Raw genomic sequence first — 23,099 nt, 5'->3', positions numbered from 1 at the left:
GAGAGGACCAGGGAGGCAGGCTGTTGACGGACAGAAGCAGTCAACTAGGTGGGAGCTGAGCCAGAACTGCAATTATCTCCCAAAGTCCAGAGAAGGGGTCCACCCAGGAACCAGCATGAGAGCTCAGGCCTCTCAACTCCAGGGCTCCAGAGGCACACACAGGTAGGCGAGGTAGGATAGGTCCTTGTGACTCCCCCTTCGTATGGGGTACTGGCAGCTGGGGAAAGCTGCTTCAATGTGAACATACCTTCCCTCATACCTTCCCCACCTGCTTGATAAGGACAAGCAGGAGGTAGGAGAACAAGGCCCCTCCCTCTAGTGCTGGAATTCAGGTCATTTACTCTGCTGAAGGCTGGAAGCCTGGACCTCTGACAGTCCAAGGGCTTGTGCAAGAGCGGGCTATCCCCCCGAACTCTCCAGAGACTGTGAGGAGGTAGGCACCACCCCAAGCAGGGCATCAGAAGGACAAGGTCTTCTGGTTCGGGGCAGGAAGGGGAAGATCTCCGCCCCTTTGGTCTCACCGTGATATCTGTATCAAGCCTTCAGGAATTAGTAGAGAAATGGGGGAAATGACTCATGGGCTACTCTTAGACAGTGAGGGGTGCATTGGAATGGGATGTTGGCCTTTGTCTACCCAGCCCTCCCTAAGACTCTCCTAAGGTCCTCCCCCAAACTCATTAAAAACATAGCGGAAAATAATAGGGCAGAGGGAACCAGGCTTGTCAGCCAGACCCATGGGCTCATCTCTGGCCTCAACTACCTCAACCTCTGGAAGGACAGGACCTGTCAAAGGGAGTGAAGATGGGTGGGACTATGGAAGGAAAAGAGAGGAGGGTCCCCCCACCCTGAGTTCTGCCCTCCTGGTCTGGTTCTGCCCTCTTGGTCTGAGTTCAATTCTCCTGCTTGAGTCTGGGAATGGGGGTGAGGCGCCAAGCATCTCAGGGGGAGACAGCTGCACGCAGTTCACAGCCCACCTTTGACTGCGCTCAGGTGGCAATCCCAGGTCCCAGGCCACCCCTCCCTGCCTGTCTTTTCTCACTTCCTGAGAGGCTCAGGATAGGGCTGGGAGGATGAGGAAGTAGAGAACTGCTGGCATGAGCCTGTCCCCCACCTCCTCTTTACTCTGGAGCACTCCCCAAAAGAAGTGATAAGGCCTGGCAGTCTTCCCGCTGAGAGGCTGATCTCCTTATTCAGGTGTCGCTCTTTCTCTTTCAGTCTGTTTCTTGTCTCTGCACACAGGAACTGCACACGCATCGCCTGCCACACTCGTGTGAATCCCATCCTGTATCACTCACCTACACCTGGGCACAGAACTACATACACCTGTGGACATGAATATGCACCCTCTTATGCCGAGTCAAACACCTGAACGCCATGCAAAAGCTGCCCCTCCTCACATGCTTCCTCCAGGACTAGGCCACTGGGAGCCCTGCCTCCCAGTTAGCAGTCCCAGAGTCCCACATCTCCTCCCCTGAGGCTGGGGAGTGAGCAAGGGGTAAAGAAGGGTGGCCGCAGAGGCCACTGGCCAGATTCCTTGAGCCTGGCTTGAAGGCCAGTCCCCCCAAACTGGACACCTTTCTGTGGTGTCCACCACAATTCCTCCCCACTGTGTCCTTTCTGGGGTTTTCCCTTCTGGAGCCCCCTGACCTTTCCTCCCCCACCCCAGTCACCCGCTCTGCACCAGAGTCTGGAGGTCTGTCTGCCCAGCTCCTGCCTGGAGGAATGCTTAATCTGGGGTGCAAGATTAAGGCTCGGGCCTAGGCTGGAGCCAGGGATGAGGGGTGTCCAAGAGGGAAGGCAGGCGGCTGTTATTCTTGGGACTGGAAGCTTTAGGATTGGATGTGAGGAAAGCAACTTCAGCACCCTTCCTTCAGGCCCTATCTCGTAGGTTAACAGTGCTTTCTCTCTCATTTGGCCAGGGGACAGCAGGGCAGTGGCCCTCCTGGAGGTGTTAGTCTGGATCTTCAAGTCTGGGCTTCTAGGGGAGTGGGAGCAGGGACAGGAGGGGCAGGAGAGGATGTGCTAGCCAGACAGTTCCCACTGGCACAGCCACCTCTCTCTTGTCTTCATTCTCCAGAGGGAGCATCAGGAAGGAGGGGCTGGAAAGAAGGCAAAGGGAAGAAAGGAGGAGGGGAAGTCTGGCAGCGGCACCGCCAGGCCCAGAAAGCTGGAGAGCAAGGGTGGGCTGTGGGGGATGGCTCCAGGCCTGGAAGATAAAGCCACATGAGCCACCAGGCAGGGGACTGGCCTAGCTACTTTCTCCCTCCACATCCCTCTCCGGAAGCCTGCAGGGAAGAGAGGAAAGGCAGGGCAGAGGGCCTGGGAGGGGGAGCTGTGCTGAAAGAGCATGGACCCTGGAGGAGAAGGCCTGGATCTAAGTGTCATCCCTGCCACTTACTGTGTGACCCTGGCAAGCCACATAACCCTTTGAACCTGATTCCTCTTCTGTAAAGAGAGACTCATTTTTACCTCAAAGGGTTGCGATGAGAACTGCATTCAGTAAAGGGATAATCATTCTAGTCATGATGGTCAAGTCAGAGAAGGAGAGCAGATAAGACAAGCCCATCACCATCCAAAGGGTGTCTATCACTACGCCTCGTTCTGAGAGGGGCTGCTCCCTTCCCGGGTGCCCCATCTTACCATGCTGACAAAGTGATCAGGAGAAAAAGACAAAGACGCTGAAGCTGAGACACATAAAGGACCGAAACTAAGAGAAACTGGGGATGAGATGATGGAAAAAAGCAGAGAAGATGGCAAGAAAAGAGGGTCTAGCACCTAGCATGCGTCTGGCATGCAGTAGGCACACTGCAAGTGTTGAATGAAAGACGGACTTGGTGCCAAGAAGGAGGCTGGACCAATCCACTGGGAGTCAATAGGAACTTGTTGGGCAGAGCCATAATAGCTCTGGGAGTCATGAAAGGATGGAGACTTGCAATAAATGAAGCCAGCAACCCATACAGGCTAGAGCCAGACGCTGTGAGGCTGCTGCCAGCGGGACCCTCCCCCTGCTGCCCATCCTCCCACCCACTCCCCAGGCCTACACCATCCCCAACCAAGTCCTGCTTCTCACACCGTCTCAGTCCCTGCTGGCATCCTGGAGTCTCCTGGTGTCACCTCCCCTGGCCCCACAGAGAGCTCTCTATCTTCTGCAGCTCTGTGGGCAGTGGCAGGCTCAGGATGGGCATGGCTGGCATCCTCCTCTGGCTCCGGCTCCAGGAGCTTCTGTAACTCCACGTACAGCACACAGGCATCACTGCGTGACACATGCTCCCATCCACTCTCCCGCACGTGGAAAAGGTCTACAGAGCCCCCTGAATAGGCATCACGGTGGGTGGCGTGGGCCACGGCGCAGCGAGCCAGGGCGTAGGCTTCCTGGGTGCTCATGTCGTAGCGATAGCCACGGTCTAGCACGCCGTAGGCATAGGGAGATCCAGAGCCCACAGAGAAGATGTCCCCCTGCAGGCGGGTGCCGTCGCTATAGACGTAGAAGAGCTCAGGGCCAGAGCGGTCCCAGCCGCAGAGGGCAGTGGCCACACAGAGATCCAGTCCCCGGTATTGAGACATCATGGCTGACAAGAGCTTGGCAGCACTGGCCACACTGGGCAGCTGACCCTCCCTCAGTTCCCGAAGCCGCAGCTCCCGCTGTAATACCCGATACCAGGTAGCACAGTCGGCAGAGGTGCCAGAGGTGGTACCCAGGAGGTGCTGGTGCACAGGGATGACCTTGCATGAGGCTGGACACGCCACATAGCTGCCACAGGAGGAACGCGTGTCAGCTGCAGCAATGACTCCATGACGGAAGCGGAAGGCCAGAGTGGTGGTGCCGTGGGCCAGTCTGGGGCCATGGATCTGCAGGAAGGTTTGAGGGTCACAACCCCGGGGCACAGCCCAGCCGCCAGCCCGAGGCAGGTGAGGTGATGGTCCCTGGGTGTCAGGGGACTGCCACTTGCACACATCCTGCAGAGCCATCCCTGGGGCTGAATGAAGTTTGGAAGAAGCAAGCCAGGAATTTGTGGCTGGGGTCTGGTGGGATAGGAGGGACGCTACAGAGAAGCTGGGCCACAGCCAGAACCGGCCAGGAAGGTGTGTGAGCTGACGCTTCATTTCTCCTCAACCCCCAATTCAGGCTTTGGGATTGGCTGATGGAGCAGCCCCCTTCATCTCAGAGGACAGCTGAAAGGAGACAGGATGAGGGCTGTAGAGTCTCCAGCACTAGGAAGACGCTGCCTTCACGGTCAGACCTTCACCTTCTGCTGCCCATGACGCATCTGAGAGTCACCCAAAGAGTCTCCTGTCTGTCATCCTCCAACTATCTGGAGTTGGGCGGGGGGGGCTGGGGTAATGCAAAGAAACATGAGCACAAATGGATGGAGCAGGGCTGGGCTCCTTGTTTCTCCCATGCGGGGCACTGGGCACGTAGAGACAAATAAGGCCCTGTCCCTGGCCTGAGAGGGCTCCCAGCCTAGGACGAGGTAGACAATTCAGTGGACTGATGTGGTCAGAATACAGCGCTGTAACCCCACTGAGGCAGGAGACCTTGGTGCTGGGGACTCCCTTCAGAGATATGGGAGCAAGGAACTCAGCTCATACTTCAAACTCAAGGGAAAGATGGGGAAAGAAAAATGGACTGAGGCTGGGCACAGTGGATCACACCAGTAATCTTAGCACTTTGAGAGACCAAGGCAGGGGGATGGCTTGAGCCCAAGAGTTCGAGACCACCCTGGGCTACATATCAAGACCCCCATCTCTACAAAATATGTAACAATTAGCCTGGGACAGGCTCGGAGGCTCATGCCTCCCAGCACTTTGGGAGGCCGAGGCAGGTGAATCACGAGGTCAGGAGTTCGAGACCAGCCTGGCCAATATGGTGAATCCCCATCTCTACTAAAAAATTAGCTGGGTGTGGTGACGCACACTTGTAGTCCCAGCTGCTCAGGAGGCTGAGGCAGGAGAATTGCTTGAACCAGAAGGCGGAGGTTGCAGTGAGCTGAGATCGTGCCACTGCACTCCAGCCTGGGTGACAGAGCGAGACTCCATCTCAAAAAAAAAAAAAATTAGCCAAGCATGGTGGCACATGCCTGTAGTCCCAGCTACTCAGGAAACTGAGGTGAAAGGATCACCTGAGTCCAAGAGGTCAAGGCTTCAGTGAGCCGTGATTGTGCCACTGCACTCCTGCCTGGGCGACACAGTGACACCCTGTCTCAATAAAAAATAAAGGAAAATTTAAAAAAATAAAAATAAAAAAGGCCGCACATGGTGGCTCATGCCTGTAATCCCAGCACTTTGGGAGACAGAGGCGGGCGGATCACCTGAGGTCAGGAGTTTGAGACCAGCCTGGCCACCATGGTGAAACCCCCGTCTCTACTGAAAATACAAAAAAAATCAGCCGGGTGTGGTGGTGGATGTCTGCAATCCTAGCTGCTTGGGAGGCTGAGGCACGAGAATCGCTTGAACCCGGGAGGTGGAGGTCGCAGTGAGCTGCCATTGCACTCCAGCCTGGGCAACAAGAGCGAAACTCCATCTCAAAAATTAATTAATTAATTAATTAATTAAAAGTGGACTAAAGCAAAGACGAGAAAAAAGAGCAAGAGAACTTTGTAACAGCGGAGAGGAGAAAGAGGCTGAAATATCTTCCACAAAGGCAGATTGCTGAGGAATGAAGGAAACTAGAACCTGAAGGTCTCTTTCTCCCTTGCTTTAGAGATAAATATGTCCTTCTATCTGTATACAGAGAAGGCATTCCTGACAGTTCTCTGGCAGTATGCCTTTGACTTGTGTTGAAGTCCAAAGGATCTAGTGGCCTTCTAGCTCCTGCTCCCCCTTCTGCCTAATAGTTCACAATGGCAACAGAGTGGCTTGTAATTCCAGGGCAGGAGAAACAACTGATCTTAACTCCATAATGTTGAGTCTATAAGTCTTAGACCAACCAGGGGTGTTAGAGTGGTGGGGTTGGTGGACCCTGATAGCTGACCCTTCAGAAAGTCGAAGTCAAGGCCAAGTGTGTTGGCTCACGCCTGTAATCTCAGCACGTTGGGAGGCCAAGGCAGGTGAATCACTTGAGCCCAGGAATTCGAGATCAGCCTGGGCAACATGGCGAAACCTCACCTCTACAAAAAATACAAAAAATTAGCCGGGTGTGGTGGTGTGGACCTGTAGTCCCAGCTACTTGGAAGGCTGAGGTGGGAGGATCACTTGAGCACTCACTGAATGAGGCTGCAGTGAGTAAGATTGTGCCACTGCACTCCATGCACTCTAGCCTGGGCAACAAAGTAAGACCCTGTCTCAGAAAAAAAAAAAAAAATAGCCAGTTAATTGGGGCAGAGTGACAAGCTGCAACTACTCCAGCAACATATGCCGTACATATATTATACTAAACATTGCAGCTCAAGGTGGTGCTGTGGAAATGGATTTATTTGAAGAAACAGACCCACACACAAAGGAAAGAGTCTGGACCCTCCAGACATCATGATGGTGGGGCTGTGGCATCATAGCTTTCTGGGGTCTCACTACTAAGGAAAAGTGTAAACCTGGTCATGGGAAAGTTGGAGAAACTCAAAGAGCATGCTAAGGTCCAACCAGTCCTTCTCTTCTCCTTGGTGTAGGACCACCAGGAAATCTTGCTGAAAGGTAAGGATATATCTTCTTTCTTTCTTTCTTTTTGAGACGGAGTTTCGCTCTTGTCATCCAAACTGGAGTGCAATGGCGTGATCTTGGCTCACTGTAACCTCTGCCTCCCAGGCTCAAGCGATCCTCCTGCCCAGCCTCCCAAGTAGCTGGGATTACAGGCACCCCCAACACACCCAGGTAATTTTTGTACTTTTAGTAGAGACAGGGTTTTGCCATGCTGGCCAGGCTGGTCTCGAACTCCTGACCTGAGGTGATCCGCCCACCTGGGCCTCCCAAAGTATTAGGATTACAGGCGTGAGCCACTGCGCCTAGCCTAGAGTATATCTTCTTTCTAAAGGCTAAGTCTCAGACTCTTTATAGATGGATTGCCACCTCCCTAGATCAAGCCATTATCAAGTCAGGTCTGGACAGTTGAATGACCTCCTAATTAAGCACTCACCAGTCTCCCATTGTAATCTTACCCTCTACATGGACATGTTTTCCTAAAGTATCACTCAAATCCTGTGTTTTCTCTGCTAGAAAAACTTGGAGGGTTATAAGATAAAATCAAAACTACCTCTTCTATCCCAAGCTGGCACGTAAGACCCACTATGGTCCAACCTAAATCTATCTATCACAGGCTCTTTTCTCTCTATTCCTAACACACCTCCCACCTCCCTTTCACCTGTTTGAATCCTATTCCACAGTCTGGCTTAAGTACCACCTATTGTGAAATTCCTTCCCAGGTATGGGCTGAGAAAGGAGAGGCTGTGAGTGCACCAAGTCAGATTTAGAAAAATGAATCCAGACCTTGACAAAGCCATCCTGGACCTACAGCCTCTTTCCAATCTATATTGACTCCCTCGCCCACCTCTGAACCACAGCATTTATCATTTGTACTTCTCCTTAATGAGGTCCCCAGGAATAGGGACCCTGGAGCAGAGAACGCATGTGAGGTAAGTTGGGAATGGATTATGGAAGGCCTTGAATGCTATGCTGAGGAGCTTGAATTCACAAAACTTTTTTTTTTTTTTTTTTTTTTTTGAGACGGAGTCTCACTCTGTCGCCCAGACTGGAGTGCAGTGGCACAATCTCTGCTCACTGTAACCTCTGCCTCCCGGGTTCAAGCAATTCTCCTGCCTCAGCCTCTAGAGTAGCTAGGACTACAGGCGGTGCCACTACGCCTGGCTAATTTTCTGTATTTTTAGTAGTGACAGGGTTTCACCGTGTTAGTCAGGATGATCTTGATTTCCTGACCTCGTGATCCGCCCACCTCGGCCTCCCAAAGTGCTGGGATTACAGGCGTGAGCCACCGCGCCTGGCCCACAGAACATTTTTAAGCAGGTGAGTGTTAAGATCGAGATGATGTTTTAGGCTGGGCGCAGCGGCTCACGCCTGTAATCCCAGCACTTTGGGAGGCTGTGGCGGGCAGATCACCTGAGGTCAGGAGTTCAAGACCAGCCCGCCCAACATGGCAAAATCTTGTCTCTACTAAAAATAGAAGAAAAAAAATTAACTGGGCCTGGTGGCGCACGCCTGTAATCCCAGCTACTCGGGAGGCTGACGCAGGAGAATTGCTTGAACCTGGGAGGCAGAGGTTGCAGTGAGCAGAGATCGTGCCACTGCACTCCAGCCTGGGCGACAATAGCAAAACTCAATTAAAAAAAAAAATGGTGTTTTAGGAAAACGAATCTGATGCTGTGCAGAATGAATTAGAGAGTGACAATTTAGACCCATAAATCAGTTAGGAGAAGGCCAGGCATGGTGGTTCACACCTGTAATCCCAGCACTTTGGAAGACTGAGGCAGACAGATCGTCTGAGGTTGGGAGTTCAAGACCAGCCTGGCCAATATGGCAAAATCCCATCTCTACTTAAAATACAAAAAAAAAAAAAATTATCCAGGCAATTCATCCTGGCTAACATGGTGAAACCCCATCTCTACTAAAAAATACAAAAAAAAACAAAAATTAGCGGGCATGGTGGCGGGCGCCTGTAGTCCTAGTTACTCGGGAGGCTGAGGCAGGAGAATGGCGTGAACCCGGGAGGCGGAGCTTGCAGTGAGCCAAGATTGTGCCACTGCACTCCAGCCTGGGTGACAGAGCGAGACTCCGTCTCAAAAAAAAAAAAAATTATCCAGGTATGGTGGCACACACCTGTAGTTCCAGCTACTTGGGAGGCTACGGCAGGAGAATCACTTGAATCCAGGAGGTAGAGGTTGCAGTGAGCCAATATTGCGCCACTGCACTCCAGCCTGGGCGACAGAGCGAGACTCCATCTCAAAAAAATAAAATAAAATAAGGAGAATATTTCAGCAATTCCAGAATGAGGACATAAGAAGCCAAAGGTGGTATCAGTTGTAATGAAAAAGAATGTGAGAAACACTGAAGTGGAAATAATCAACAGGACCATGCAACTAACTGGATATGAAGGAAAGAAAAAAGCTGTAAAAGATAAGCAAGGACTTCAAGCCTTTTTGACTAGAAGACCACTGCTGTCATTCTTTCAGGTGTTCATTTGGCAAATATGTATTAAGCATACAGTGGGTACAGAAATGAATAGTAAGTACTTGTATTTAAAAGCTCACAATCCGGTAGGAGATAAATGTAATTTCTAACCAGGTAAAATGTAAAAGGGCCTTAAGAGAGGTACACATGCTATCAGTGGCAGAGTGAAAAACCACTGGAAGGAGGCAGAAAGACTAGTTGCACTGCAGGGGTGACTGCAAAATAATATATGCTCAGTAAACAGACGCACTCCGCATTTTCCACATCATCCAAGTGTGAAACACAAAGATCTCCTGTTTAATTCTATTCTGATGATTGGGCTTGGAAAGGGTTGCCAATTTCAGCATTAAAAATACAGCATAGGCCAGGCGCAGTGGTTCACACCTGTAATCCCAGCACTTTGGGAGGCCGGGGCAAGCGGATCACCTGAGGTCAAGAGTTTGAGACCAGCGTGGCCAATATGGTGAAACCCCATCTCTACTAAAAATACAAAAATTAGCCAGGCGTGAGGCCGGGCACGGTGGCTCATGCCTGTAATCCCAGCACTTTGGGAGGCCGAGGTGGGTGGATCACGAGGTCAGGAGATCAAGACCATCCTGGCTAACAAGCGGATCACCTGAGGTCAAGAGTTTGAGACCAGCGTGGCCAATATGGTGAAACCCCATCTCTACTAAAAATACAAAAATTAGCCAGGCGTGAGGCCGGGCACGGTGGCTCATGCCTGTAATCCCAGCACTTTGGGAGGCCGAGGTGGGTGGATCACGAGGTCAGGAGATCAAGACCATCCTGGCTAACACGGTGAAACCCCGTCTCTACTAAACACACACACACACACACACACACACACACACACACACACACACACAAATTAGCCTGTTGTGGAGGCAGGCGCCTGTAATCCCAGCTACTCGGGAGGCTGAGGCAGGAGAATCGCTTGAACCTGGGAAGCAGAGGTTGCAGTGAGCAGAGATCGTGCCACTGTGTTCCAGCCTGGGGGACACAGCAAGACTTGGTCTCAAAAAACAAACAAACAAACAAACAAAAACAATACAGCATATGCAGAGTCTGCTGGGGGAAAGATGGGGCCGAACTGGGCATCAGAGGAAAGTGGAATTTCGGTGTTGATAGATGTTGCTGCTAGAATCCAACAAGGAAGGCCAGAGACTGACTTCATAGAACCATAAAGCAGGAGGCAACATTTCATACATATGCACACTTCCCGGTTTGTTATAGTTCCCAAAAGATTTGAAAAATGAAGGTGGGTGGAGGGAGGAAGAGGCAATGAAATATAGTATGTTCCTGAATAAAAGGCATCATCTTAGCAAGTTGAAGTTAGAGAATCTCTTGGTACATATTTATGCAGTCTCAACCGTCCTCCCGTCTCTGAGATGGTAAATTACTACTGACACTTATTCAGGTCTGAACTGAGAATCTAGTTTGTGGATTAACTGGACCCTTTGCTTTTTCTTCTTCCATCTGCCTTTTAGGCAATTCATTACTTATTCGAATTTCCACCAGAAGGTAGGAGTCAAGAGAACGAATATTGGATATTAATAACCGGTTACTGTTAAAGAAGGGTTGCTGTATGGCGACTGACAACAAGAGGTATAGCACTTTTATTTTGTTGCGTTGTTTTACCACTAATTGCTGTGGTTTAACTAATATAGGGAAATGGCCTCAGAATGGATCATTATTTTACCCAATTTTAGAAGGTGCCCTTAAACAAGATGGCAACCTCAGGCGCGTTAACAAGGTGCTGAAGCAGCAGCGATGTAACCTGTTGCTTGGACACCAGGCTGGAGTGGGAGGACTCACCGCTAAGGGTTCAGAACCGATTTTCAACCAGTCACGCCCTTCTCAAAGATGGCCGACCTCACTTCCCTTACGCAACATGGACGTTTTCAGTCACTTCCTGTGATTTTGAGGTTATTCTGATCCAGGACTACTTGCATGACCAAAGCCAAGATGGCAGGTACGTCCTTTTAGAATTTAAGGTTAGTGAAGCCATCTATTTCCCCGACCCCCTTCAGTGAAAATGGTCTTTCGCATCTGGCTCTTCTTTTTGGAGGCGTGCTTGCCAGCAGTCAAAATGGCTCCATTCCGGAATAGATTTAATAGGAAGTGAAGCTGTGACGGCGAGGCGTTGCCCGGCCTATCTTTGCTAGGCGTTCTCAGAATTAGTTCTTTCTGCCCACACTAGACATGGCGCTTGCCAGCGTGTTGGAGAGACCGCTACCGGTGAACCAGCGCGGGTTTTTCGGACTTGGGGGTCGTGCAGATCTGCTGGATCTAGGTCCAGGGAGTCTCAGTGATGGTCTGAGCCTGGCCGCGCCAGGCTGGGGTGTCCCAGAAGAGCCAGGAATCGAAATGCTTCATGGAACAACCACCCTGGCCTTCAAGGTGTGGAGCCAGCCCCCTTGCCAGGCTGAGTACTGAACGCCCGCGACTTGCCTGGCCTCCCAGCCTGACCGGAGTTTGCGGTGGCCTTGGCCACCAACCCAGGCGGAGGCTGGGTCCTCTCGTTCGGACCGCAGCAGTTTTGCTGTCTCATTGGCCCAGGAGGCCCCTGTCTTTGCTCTGGTTGGAAAGGGTGGCGGTGGGGCCGGGGGTAAGTCGGGGGAGGAAGGTGAGGCCTCTTGGGTTGATTCCTAGGCGACCCCAGGTTGCTGCTGTTCAGGATCTTCTAGCTGGGAAAGGCCGCAACAACAATGAATCTTGGCCGAGGGAAGGCTATTGTAAACGTTTACCAAAGTTTTGGAAACTGGGCGGCCCCTCAAGGCAGGGGTAACTGAAACTGGCATGAAGGGGAAGCGTGGTGAGGGTAAGCATTGTACTAAGAATCAGACATTTGGGGTTCCTTGCCCAGCTCTGCAATAACTAGCTCTAGATTGAGAAATCATTTGATTTCATTGAACCTGTTTCCTCATCTATAAAATGATTTGTTTTTTTTTTTTTTTTGAAACAGGGCTTTTCGCTGTCGCTCAGGCTGGAGTGCAGTGGCTCCAGCGCCTCAGCCTCCAGAGTAGCTGACACTATAGGCACACACCACCACGACAGGCTAAGTTTTTTTACTTTTTGTAGAGATGGATCTCCCTGTGTTGCCCAGGCTGGTCTCCAGCACCTGGCCTCAAGCGGTCCTCCCGCCTTGGTCTCCCAAAATGCCTGGGTTACAGGAGTGAGCCACCACGCCCATCCTATAAAATGAATTTAATATGGGTTATATCCATGTCAAGGGATTGATGTGAAGCTCGGGTGACATTAATATATGGTGAAGTATAGAAGTATACTGTGAAGTATAAAAGGACGGAGAAAGAGATGTGCTGGGTTTGGATTGATGCAAAAAGAAGTATGTAGGAGTGTTTTTGTGGTCTTATGTGGCCTGTTTTGTGTTTTCCTCTGATCTTAACAGTTCCGCCATGGAGTCATAGTTGCAGCTGACTCCAGGGCTACAGCGGGTGCTTACATTGCCTCCCAGACGGTGAAGAAGGTGATAGAGATCAACCCATACCTGCTAGGCACCATGGCTGGGGGCGCAGCGGATTGCAGCTTCTGGGAACGGCTGTTGGCTCGGCAATGTCGAATCTATGAGCTTCGAAATAAGGAACGCATCTCTGTAGCAGCTGCCTCCAAACTGCTTGCCAACATGGTGTATCAGTACAAAGGCATGGGGCTGTCCATGGGCACCATGATCTGTGGCTGGGATAAGAGAGGCCCTGGTGAGTTAAGCTGCAACCACATGATCCTTGGGCTGACACTACAGTGAGGAGGGGTTGGATGGACAGATGAATTAAAGGGCTTGGTGTCAATGCTGAAGAAGTGTAATTAGGTCCTTAGCCCTTCCTTCTCTCTTTTTTTTTTTCCTGTTTTTTTAGACTGTGTCTCATTCTGTCGCTCAGGCTGGAGTGCAGTGGCATGATCTCAGCTCACTGCAGCCTCCGCCCCCAGGTTCAGGAATTCAAGACCAGCCTGGCCAACATGGCGAAACCCCATCTCTACTAAAAATACAAAAATTAGCCCGGCGTGGTGGCGGGCGCCTGTAATACCAGCTGCTCAGGAGGCTGAGGCATGAGAATTGCTTGAACCCAGGAGGTGGATGTTGCAGTGAGCAGAGATCGCGCCACTGCACTCCAGCCTGGGCGACAGAGTGAGACTCTGTCTCAAAAAAAAGAATTTAAGAATTCGTTGAAGGCCGGGCGTGGTGGCTCACTCCTGTAATCCCAGCACTTTGGGAGGCTGAGACAGTGGATCACGAGGTCAGGAGATCGAGACCATCCTGGCTAACAAGGTGAAACCCCGTCTCTACCAAAAATACAAAAAATTAGCCAGGCGTGGTGGCAGGCGCCTGTAGTCCCAGCTACTCAGGAGGCTGAGGCAGGAGAATAGTGTGAACCCAGGAGGCGGAGCTTGCAGTGAGTCGAGATGGTGCCACTGCACTCCAGCCTGGGCAACAGAGCGAGACTCTGTCTCAAAAAAAAAAACAAAAAAAAGAATTCGTTGAATCCCACATGTGGCAGTAGTGCTATTTCAAGTGTTCATTGACCATGTGTGGCTTGTGGCTACTGTATTGGACTCTAATATATGGTTGTCCCTCAAAAGTTAGTCATTTCTCTTCTGTTTTTTTCTTTTTTTCTTTTTTTGAGATGCAAAGTTTCACTCCGATCGTCCAGTCTGGCGTGTAATGGCATTGTTTCAGCTCACTACAACCTCTGCCTCCTGGGTTCAAGTGATTCTCCTGCCGCAGTCTCCCAAGTACCTGGGATTACAAGCGCCCACCAGCATGCCCAGCTAATTTTATATTTTTAGTAGAGATGGGGTTTCACCATGTTGGCCAGGCTGGTCTCGAAATCCTGACCTCAGGTGATTCACCCGCCTCAGCCTCCCAAAGTGCCAGGATTAAAGGCGTGAGCCGCTGCACCCGGCCTCTTCTCTTTTTTTCTTTAGAGAGTCTTTGGCCTAGAAGGGGCCTTTTGGGCTCCTCTCTTTTTTGAGGGGGTGGGGATGGAGTCTCGCTCTGTCGCCCCGACTGGAGTGCAGCGGCGGGATCTCAGCTCACTGCAATCTCTGCCTCCCAGGTTCAAGTGATTCTCCTGCCTCAACCTTCCATGTAGCTGAGACTACAGGCATATGCCACCATGCGCGTCTAATTTTTGTATTTTTAGTAGAGACAGGGTTTCACCATGTTGGCCAGGCTGGTCTTGAACTCCTGACCTCAGGTGATCTGCCCACCTCAGCCTGCCAAAGTGTTGAGATTACAGGAGTGAGCCATTGCGCCTAGTCCTGGGCTCATTTCTTTTATTTCTTTGCTGGTTATAATCACCCTTACAATCATGCTAGGTCCGGTTCTATCATCTCTGAAAATAAGTTCCTTAGCCTGTTTTTCCTTTCCAGCATTTAAGAAACTTGCCAGACAGTTCAACTTTGTATTTAATGTCATTTCCTCATCAGCCAGTTTTGAATTGCCCGTTTAGTAAAGTTGGAGTATAGCTAGTCACCTTCTAATTTTCCCTTCCATATGCTTAAAAATAATTATTCTTTCCTCCTTTTGATTTTGCTTCATTCATTTACCTGCTTACTAAATACCTAGTTATCTTATAGAACAATTATAGGGTACCTACCACTTTTTCACTTGCTTTCAAACGAGAATAGAAAGGGCTGTAGGGAGTATCCACTTACTACCCAATGGAGGATGAAAGGAAATTAAAAACCGGATGTGAGAGAGGAGCTCACTTTGTTACTTTGGAAATTGAGATGCTTTTCTCTGAAAGGTGGGAAAAGACAGTTCCATACATTTTACGTGATCCAGGGAAGCATTTTGGAAATGTTGCTTTGAACCTTTAGCTGGCGGATTTGTTCTAGGTGATGGAAACAGTGTAAAAGAGTACAGGGACCGGGTAACAAGGAAAATCCAGGGAGACTGAGCATCATTTAAACAGTGCCTTCTTCAAGAGGCCTTCCTGATGACCCTGTCCCATTCATTGTGAGTCAGCCCCTTGCCTCATATTACAGTTGGCCCTTGAGCAACATGGGTTTGAATCACTCAGGTCCACTTATACGCAGGTATTTTTCAACCTAATTCTGATTGAAAATACACATTCCCAGAATTTGAAACCCAAATATACAGAGGACCAATTTATTTATTTATTTATTTATTTATTTTTGAGATGGAGTTTTCCTCTTGTCACCCATGCTGGAGTGCAATGGCGCGATCTCAGTTCATTGCAACCTCCACCTCCTGGGTTCAAGTGATCTCCTGCCTCAGCCTCCCGAGTAGCTGGGATTACAGACACCCGCCACCCTGCCAGCTAACTTTTGTATTTTTAGTAGAGACAGGGTTTCACCATGTTGGCCAGGCTGGTCTTAAACTCCTGACCTCGGGTGATCCACCTGCCTCAGCCTCCCAAAGTGCTGGGTGGCGTGAGCCACCATATCTGGCCAACTTTTCATATATGCAGGTTCTGCAGGGCCAACTTTGGGACTTGAGTGTGCATAGATTTTGGTATATGCAGGGGTCTTGGGACAAATCCCCTTCATATACCAAAGGATGACTAGTTAACCCAAGGCTGAATAAGATAAATAACCTTTTTTTTTTTTTATTGAGACGGAGTCTCGCTCTGTCGCCCAGGCTGGAGTGCAGTGGTGCCATCTCTGCTCACTGCAAGCTCCGCCTCCCGGATTCACGCCATTCTCCTGCCTCAGCCTCCCGAGTAGCTGGGACTACAGGTGCCCGCCACCACGCCCGGCTAATTTTTTGTATTTTTAGTAGAGACGGGGTTTCACTGTGTTAGCCAGGATGGTCTCAATCTCCTGACCTCATGATCCACCCGCCTCGGCCTCCCAAAGTGCTGGGATTGCAGGCGTGAGCCACAGCTCCTGGCCTGATAAATACCGTTTTTAAAAGAACCAGTTGGCTGGGCATGGTGGCTCATGCCTGTAATCTCAGCACTTTGGGAGGCCGAGATGGGTGGATCACCGGAGATCAGGAGTTCGAGACCAGCCTGACCAACATGGTGGAACCTTGTCTCTACTAAAAATACAAAATTATTGGGAGGCCGAGGCGGGCGGATCACGAGGCCAGGAGATCGAGACCATCCTGGCTAACACGGTGAAACCCCATCTCTACTAAAAATACAAAAAATTAGCTGGGCGTGGTGGTGGTCGCCTGTAGTCCCAGCTACTTGGGAGGCTGAGGCAGGAGAATGGCGTGAACCCAGGAGGTGGAGCTTGCAGTGAGCTGAGATCGTGCCACTGCACTCCAGACTGGGCAACAGAGCAAGACTCCATCTCAAAAAAAAAAAATACAAAATTAGCCGGCTGTGGTGGCACATGCCTGTAATCCCAGCTACTCAGGGAGATGAGGCAGGAGAATCTCTTGAACCCTGGAGGTGCATGCCTGTAATCCCAGCTACTCAGGAGGCTGAGGCAGGAGAATCAATCACTTGAACCTGGGAGGCAGAGGTTGCAGTAAGCTGAGATTGTGCCATTGCACTCCAGCTTGGGAAACAAGAAAGAAACTTTGTCTCAAAAATCAGTCAGTCAATCAATAAATAAAAAGAACCAGTCAAATGCGGAAGGAGTTTTGAGGAGGAAGAGATTACTTATGATGGGAGGAATTGGGGAAGACTTCATGGATTGGTGGTGGTTGTCCTGGATGTAAAAAAGGGAAAGGGAACATAACAAAGAAAGGGAGGAAAGAAGCATGAGCTTTTGAGGAGTAACTGAAAGTCCAGTTTAATTGGAACTAAGTGGGTGAAGGGGAATAGTGAGCCATAAAGCCAGAAGGGTACTTTGGAACCAGATGATGACCCCCCTCTAGGCAAGAGAGCATGGCACTGGGGCTGAGGAGGGGCCAGAGAAAGGAGTAAGGTAGACATCAGAATCACCTGAACCTGAAAACCAATAAGGGCAGAGGTGCTCAAGCTGGCTTGCATTAAAATCACCTGGGGGACTTAAAAAACAAGTTCCATACCTGTTTCCCACCCCACACCAGTTATAAAAAATACCTAGGGTAAGTCCTGTGCATTTTTGAAAAAAATCTTTGTTAGATGACTCTAGTGCACAGTGAGATGTGAGAATCACTGAAACAGGAAAAAGAGTAGTGATGCTATTGGCAGAATTTCAGAAGACAGGAGGAAGCGTGGGTTTGTGGCGCACAAGAGAGATGAGTGTGGTAGGTAATGGAGAACCACTGGTATCTAAGTTTAGGAAGTTTGAATCTGTACATGATGACAAAGACATCCAGCTGGAGGGATCCAGTAGGCAGTTGGGATTGAACACTTTGTCTAAATTTTCATCTGTACCAAAAGTCAGCTAGTTTTTTCATAAAGGGCCAAATAGTAAATATTTTAGGTCTGCAGGCCTAAATCTTTGTCTCAAATACTTAACTCTGCCGGTGTTGCACAAAACAACCATAGACAGTATGGAAACAGTGGCTCTGTTCCAATAACATTTTAATTACAAAAATAAAGGCAGTTGGCCTGGCCAAACCCTGGTCTATACCAGCAATAGAAATATAATGTGAGCCATATATGTAATTTTACATTTTATACTAGCTACGCTTTTAAAATTAAAAAAAATTAATTTCAATATATTTTGTTTAACCTAATAAATCCAAAATATTATGTTAGCAGGTAGTACTAGTTCATTTCAAATGCTCAACTAGTCCTGTGTGGCTAGTGGCTACCATATGGACAGTGCAGGTCTTTACAATGTGATTACAAACTCTAGGCTTTATTATCCTCCTGTGTAAAGTATGTCTTGTTCTCCAGATAGTCTAAACTCTTTGAGTTCTGGCATTATGGAGTTTGTTTTTCTGTCACACAGGCTGCAGTGCAGTGGCATAATCACAGCTCACTGTAGCCTCAACCTCCTGGGCTCAAGTGACTGGGATTATGGGGTCTTTTGATGGGGGAGTGGGGATTATGTTTTGTTTGTTTGTTTTTTGAGACAGAGTTTCACTCTTGTTGCCCAGGCTGGAGTGCAGTGGTGCGATCTCGGCTCACTGCAAACTCCACCTCCCAGGTTCAAGTGATTCTCCTGCCTCCGCCTCCTGAGTAGCTGGGATTACAGGCATGCGCCACCACGCCTGGCTAATTTTGTATTTTTAGTAGAGACAGGGTTTCTCCATGTTGGTCAGGCTTGTCTTGAACTCCTGACCTCAGGTGACCCACCTGCCTCGGCCTCCCAAAGTGCTGGGATTACGGGTTTGAGCCACTGCGCCTGGCCGGGGATTATGTTTTAAATGTTATCTTTCACAGTGTCTGAAGTTCTGTGCTTGAAACCTAAGTCATTTGGAATGTACTTGTTTTGTGGGTGTGCTGAGAGGATCGGCAACATGGCAAGGTAGTTATTATAATATAAGGTGAGATGGGGTGGTATGTTGTAGAATCCTGGAGTCTTAATATTAAATTTTATTCCTTCAGGTTTTTTTTTTTTCCTGAAGACAGCATCTCAGTCTGTTGCCCAAGCTGGAGTGTGGTGGTGTGATTATAGCTTACTGCAGCCTGCAAGTCCTGAGCTCAAACAATCCTCCTGTTTCAACCTCCCACAGACATGCACCACCACACTCAGCTAGCTTTTAAAAAAATAATAATAATTTTATAGAAGTCCTATCTTGTATTTATGTTGGCTTCCCTGGGTTTCTCTTTTATATATATATATATTATTTTATTTATTTATTATTATTATTATTATTTTTTTTTTTTTTGAGACAAAGTCTTGCTCTGTCTCCCAGGCTGGAGTGCAGTGGCGCGATCTCGGCTCACCGCAAGCTCCGCCTCCCGGGTTTACGCCATTCTCCTGCCTCAGCCTCCTGAGTAGCTGGGACTGCAGGCGACCGCAACCACACCTGGCTAATTTTTTGTTTTTTAGTAGAGACGGGGTTTCACCGTGTTAGCCAGGATGATCTCGATCTCCTGACCTCGTGATCCACCCGCCTCGGCCTCCCAAAGTGCTGGGATTACAGGCGTTAGCCACCGCGCCTGGCCTATTTATTATATTATTTTGAGACAGCGTTTCACTCTTGTTGCCCAGGCTGGAGTGCAATGGCGCGATCTTGGCTTACCGCAACCTTTGCCTCCCAGGTTCAAGTGATTCTCCTGCATCAGCCTCCTGAGTAGCTGGGATTATAGGCATGTGCCACCACGCCTGGCAAATTTTGTATTTTTAGTAGAGATGGGGTTTCTTCATGTTGGTCAGGCTGGTCTCAAACGCCTGACCTCAGGTGATCTGCCCACCTCAGCCTCCCAAAGTGCTGGGATTACAGGCATGAGCCACCGCGCCCGGCCTATTTTTTTATTTTTTTAAATTTTATTCTAGGTTTTAAGAGAACTACTGCTGGCCGGGCGAGGTGGCTCACGCCTGTAATCCCAGCACTTTGGGAGTCCGAGAAGGGCAGATCCCCAGAGGTCAGGAGTTCAAGACCAGCCTGACCAACATGGTGAAACCCCGTCTCTACTAAAAATACAAAAATTAGCTGGGCGTGGTTACGAGCGCTTGTAATCCTAGCTACCTGGGAAACTGAGGCAGGAGAATCACTTTAACCCAGGAGGCGGAGGTTGTGGTGAGCCGAGATTGCGCCATTGCACTCTAGCTTGGGCAACAAGAGCAAAACTCCATCTCAAAAAAAAAGAACTACTGCCTTGGCATATGAATTAGATATCAAAAGGGGTGATCTTTTTTTTTTTCCTGCTAACCTCATCTCCCTTTCCAGGCCTCTACTACGTGGACAGTGAAGGGAACCGGATTTCAGGGGCCACCTTCTCTGTAGGTTCTGGCTCTGTGTATGCATATGGGGTCATGGATCGGGGCTATTCCTATGACCTGGAAGTGGAGCAGGCCTATGATCTGGCCCGTCGAGCCATCTACCAAGCCACCTACAGAGATGCCTACTCAGGAGGTGCAGTCAACCTCTACCACGTGCGGGAGGATGGCTGGATCCGAGTCTCCAGTGACAATGTGGCTGATCTACATGAGAAGTATAGTGGCTCTACCCCCTGAAAGAGGGTGGATGCAGCTGCTTGTGTTTCTTGGGGTGACTGTCATTGGTAATACGGACACAGTGACCCATCCTCCATCCTATTTATAGTGGAAGGGCCTTCAATTGTATCAGTACTTTTTTTTAAGCTCTGGCACATTGACCTCTATGTGTTACCAGTCATTAATGAGCTGCTGCAGAGGTGACTATTTGTTTTACTTTCTTGGATGTTAACATTACACTACTCACTACTCAATCTCAGCCTGTGTTGCATCTTTTGTCCACACTGTCCCTCCTCCAAGCACTTTTCAGTCAAATAAGCCAGGACAGTGGAAGGGAAGTGACTGTAATTACAGGAAACAGTGGTGTGAAGACATTGTCTAGTGAATACATTAATGTCCCCACTCATGAAGCTAATAACGGAGAAGGAGAGAGAGGCAGGGAGGAGGGAGACACTTCTCGATTTGGTTTACAAAGAGATGAAAAGTTGATGAGGTGGAAAGATGCACAGGGCTGTACCAGGCAGGGCTCCAGCGGAAAAGGCTGTCACCCTGTGGTGGGGGAAGGGAGGCTGAGGCTACATGCAGAGCGGAAGGGTGAAGAGGGTAAATCTTGACTCTTAAACCAACTGGGAAGGGAAGGCTTGGACCCTGGGAAGGGGAGGACAAAGAAGTGGCTGTGAAAGCAGTAGTAACCACAAGCTTGGTGACCCTTGTCCTTTTGGTCCTCCAGTGCATATGTGTGGAGGGGAGAGGGTAGTGATGGTGATTTTATAGCCTCCTGGTCAGGAAGCAGCACTAAATTGTCACTGGAATGTGTGGGTGGGGAAGAGGCCCTGCTGAGAGCAGAGAGATGGCTGATTTATCACACCCAGCACTGTTGGGGCTGGGGGGAGTTCCCAAGCTATGGTGGCAGCAGATGGCAAGGCCTTCTGTTAAAGAGAAGACAGGGGATAGAGGAGGTTGATGGGAGAAACCTTTAAAAAATGGGAGCGGAGGACACAAACAATACCACCTTGTATTTAGTCAGAAGGCAGAAAGTGGTTGGTGAAGGTGACAACCCAGTGTCATGTTTTGAGACTGAGAGGTTTGGAGAAGTCATTCACAGAAGAAGAGGGGGTAAACCCTCCTCTCCTGTACTGCAGCTACCTTCCCTTCCCCCTCAGCCTTGTGCAGTCTTCGTATTGATTGATGAGGGCTGTCGGCCAGGAACTGATCGAGGCTTGTTAATTGCATTTGTCAAATGCAGGGAAATTGGGAATTAGTGAAATCGGAGAAGGGGGTTTGGAAAACAAATGACTCGTGCCTAAGGAAATTTTTTGCAGGAAAGTATCTCAGGAGCCCCTGCAGTCAGGGAGCTGCTGGTGTGGACTCAGACTACATGGTTGAAATAGGCAGGAGCTGGGCGGGGCACAGTGGCTCAGGCTTGTAATCCCAGCACCAGCACTTTGGGAGACGGAGGCAGGCAGATCACTTGATGCCAGGAGTTTGAGACCAGTCTGGCCAACATGGTGAAACCTGTCTCTACTAAAAATACGAAAAATTAGCTGGGTGTGGTGGCAGGCACCTGTAATCCCAGCTACTTGGGAGGCTGAGGCAGAGGTTGCAGTGAGCCGAGATGGTGCCATTGCACTCCAGCCTGGGCAACAAAAGCAAAACTCCATCTAAAAAAAAAAAGAAAGAAAGAAATAGGCAGGACCCAAGCTACATCTTCCTTCTCGTAGACTGTTGGGAAATGGTTAGCTGCGTGAGAAGCACAGGTAGGTCATCTTCCTCCCACTTAGGACATTGGTTTGCAGATCTTAAAAAAAAAAAAGAAAAAAAAAAAAGCACTCTTAGGAGAAATCCCAATGCCTGAAAAAAAAATCAGAGGTTGAAATTGAGCTGAGAGGTCCAGAGCCTCCACTATTGAGCTTCCCCATCCAGCCACTCCCCGCAGCACCCTTTGTTAGCCCCATACACATACACAGTCCCTGGCACTTCTTGGAACCTCAAGGAACACAATTTGAACACCTCTTCCCTGGGAAATAGCCTTAAGGATAGAAAGAGAATTGAAGATTGGAATTTCCTTACATGACCCCAGAGAGCATAAGACCCCAGCTTTGGTCCATGAACAGAAAATTCATTCTGGAGAGAAGAGATGATCGTGAAACAATGCAACCCTTTGCCCTGTTTCTGTCTCACACTTTGCTTTGGCAGTGGTTTAGCTGTTTAACGGAAACACCTATTCTGCACTGGCAGAGTCCTTATGTTAGAAGAGAAAATGCATGTTCTGTTCTGGCATATCCCTGTTGATCTACCTTCCTGGGTCTTGGGTAAAAGACTCATTTAATGGAAGAGCTCGATTTGTGGTAGGTTTTTCTGGGAAGAAAGTAGAGCAGAGGTAGGGAAAAACTGCAAGTCTGTAGGCTAGTGGTATCCACCCTGTGCATTTGTGATTTCTTGCTGATGGTTACTGGGGGGAAATTGGCTTTGCAGCGATGTGTGTCTCCGCTTGTGTGGGAATGATGGATGCCGCATAGGATTGGAGAGATGTTTTTGAGTGGAGTGTACCAGTTCAGGGACTCCCATCAGATTCATTTCCCAGTACAGTCCTCTTGACAAAGGATGATGGAAAAGAAATCGCCTTAAATAGCTGGAAGATTAATTTCTCTCAGCAGTTCCCAGGCGTCCAAGGGACTGGGCTCTTTAAGTGATGTCTGACAACTTCTCTTCCCTCAACAGATAACTCAGTAACACCAAAATCTGGCTCCTCGGGGTAGGTGATGGGACTAATCTGATTAAATAGGGAGCAAATACTCCTGGAGGCCCCTTGCTTTCTCTTGCTAGCCTTCCAGCATCTGCACACCAGGCAAGGGAGGGCTGTGGGGAGTAGCAGTGCACTGTGGGGTGAGTAGAATGTTCATGAAGGAAGGTGAAAAGGTAGGTGAGGATGTGGGGGAGGAGGGAGGAAGGGCACAGTTAACGCAAATCAAAGACTGAAGGATAATAGTTACTGAGTGTTCCTCTTTAGGCAA

At 49.4% G+C, this 23,099-nt stretch overlaps 2 protein-coding genes across 4 annotated transcripts, besides 4 other annotated features; one reads left to right on the top strand and one right to left on the bottom strand.

Moving 5' to 3' along the window:
* Window positions 1-2,134: 2,134 nt before the first annotated feature.
* On the bottom strand, window positions 2,135-3,983 carry PSMB11 (proteasome subunit beta 11). The gene has a single exon (NM_001099780.2). It carries the CDS (start codon window positions 3,967-3,969, stop codon window positions 3,067-3,069), a length of 903 nt encoding a protein of 300 aa, NP_001093250.1. The 5' UTR covers window positions 3,970-3,983; the 3' UTR covers window positions 2,135-3,066.
* Window positions 10,370-11,569: an enhancer, noted in NCBI's record as "MED14-independent group 3 enhancer chr14:23503835-23505034 (GRCh37/hg19 assembly coordinates)". NCBI's record gives its function as "activates an origin of replication core promoter dependent on BRD2, BRD4, P300/CBP and CDK7 cofactors, and independent of MED14, by STARR-seq in HCT116 cells {active_cell/tissue: HCT116}" and the evidence as "EXISTENCE:reporter gene assay evidence [ECO:0000049][PMID:35650434]".
* Window positions 10,821-11,115: an enhancer, noted in NCBI's record as "tiled region #11879; HepG2 Activating non-DNase unmatched - State 1:Tss, and K562 Activating DNase matched - State 1:Tss". NCBI's record gives its function as "activates a minimal TATA promoter and a strong SV40 promoter by Sharpr-MPRA in HepG2 and K562 cells {active_cell/tissue: HepG2 | K562}" and the evidence as "EXISTENCE:reporter gene assay evidence [ECO:0000049][PMID:27701403]".
* Window positions 10,900-11,569: an enhancer, noted in NCBI's record as "active region_8158". NCBI's record gives its function as "activates an Ori minimal core promoter by ATAC-STARR-seq in GM12878 lymphoblastoid cells {active_cell/tissue: GM12878}" and the evidence as "EXISTENCE:reporter gene assay evidence [ECO:0000049][PMID:35858748]".
* Window positions 10,975-20,344, top strand: PSMB5 (proteasome 20S subunit beta 5). Of its 3 annotated transcripts, NM_001144932.3 has the most exons (4): window positions 11,295-11,511; window positions 12,521-12,827; window positions 18,366-18,450; window positions 19,820-20,339. In NM_001144932.3, the coding sequence occupies exons 1-4, from the start codon at window positions 11,314-11,316 to the stop codon at window positions 19,839-19,841; spliced, it is 612 nt and encodes a 203-aa protein (NP_001138404.1). In that variant the 5' UTR covers window positions 11,295-11,313; the 3' UTR covers window positions 19,842-20,339. The 3 variants fall into 3 exon arrangements, with proteins under 3 accessions (NP_001124197.1, NP_001138404.1, NP_002788.1); NM_001130725.1 differs by lacking the exons at window positions 11,295-11,511; window positions 18,366-18,450 and adding an exon at window positions 10,975-11,083 and having other exon boundaries at window positions 19,820-20,344; NM_002797.5 differs by lacking the exon at window positions 18,366-18,450.
* Window positions 20,989-21,078: an enhancer, noted in NCBI's record as "active region_8157". NCBI's record gives its function as "activates an Ori minimal core promoter by ATAC-STARR-seq in GM12878 lymphoblastoid cells {active_cell/tissue: GM12878}" and the evidence as "EXISTENCE:reporter gene assay evidence [ECO:0000049][PMID:35858748]".

This window comes from Homo sapiens, chromosome 14, assembly GCF_000001405.40.
Source record: "Homo sapiens chromosome 14, GRCh38.p14 Primary Assembly".
NCBI classification, from domain to species: Eukaryota; Metazoa; Chordata; class Mammalia; order Primates; family Hominidae; genus Homo; species Homo sapiens.
This window is presented reverse-complemented; position numbering and strand designations above follow the sequence as displayed.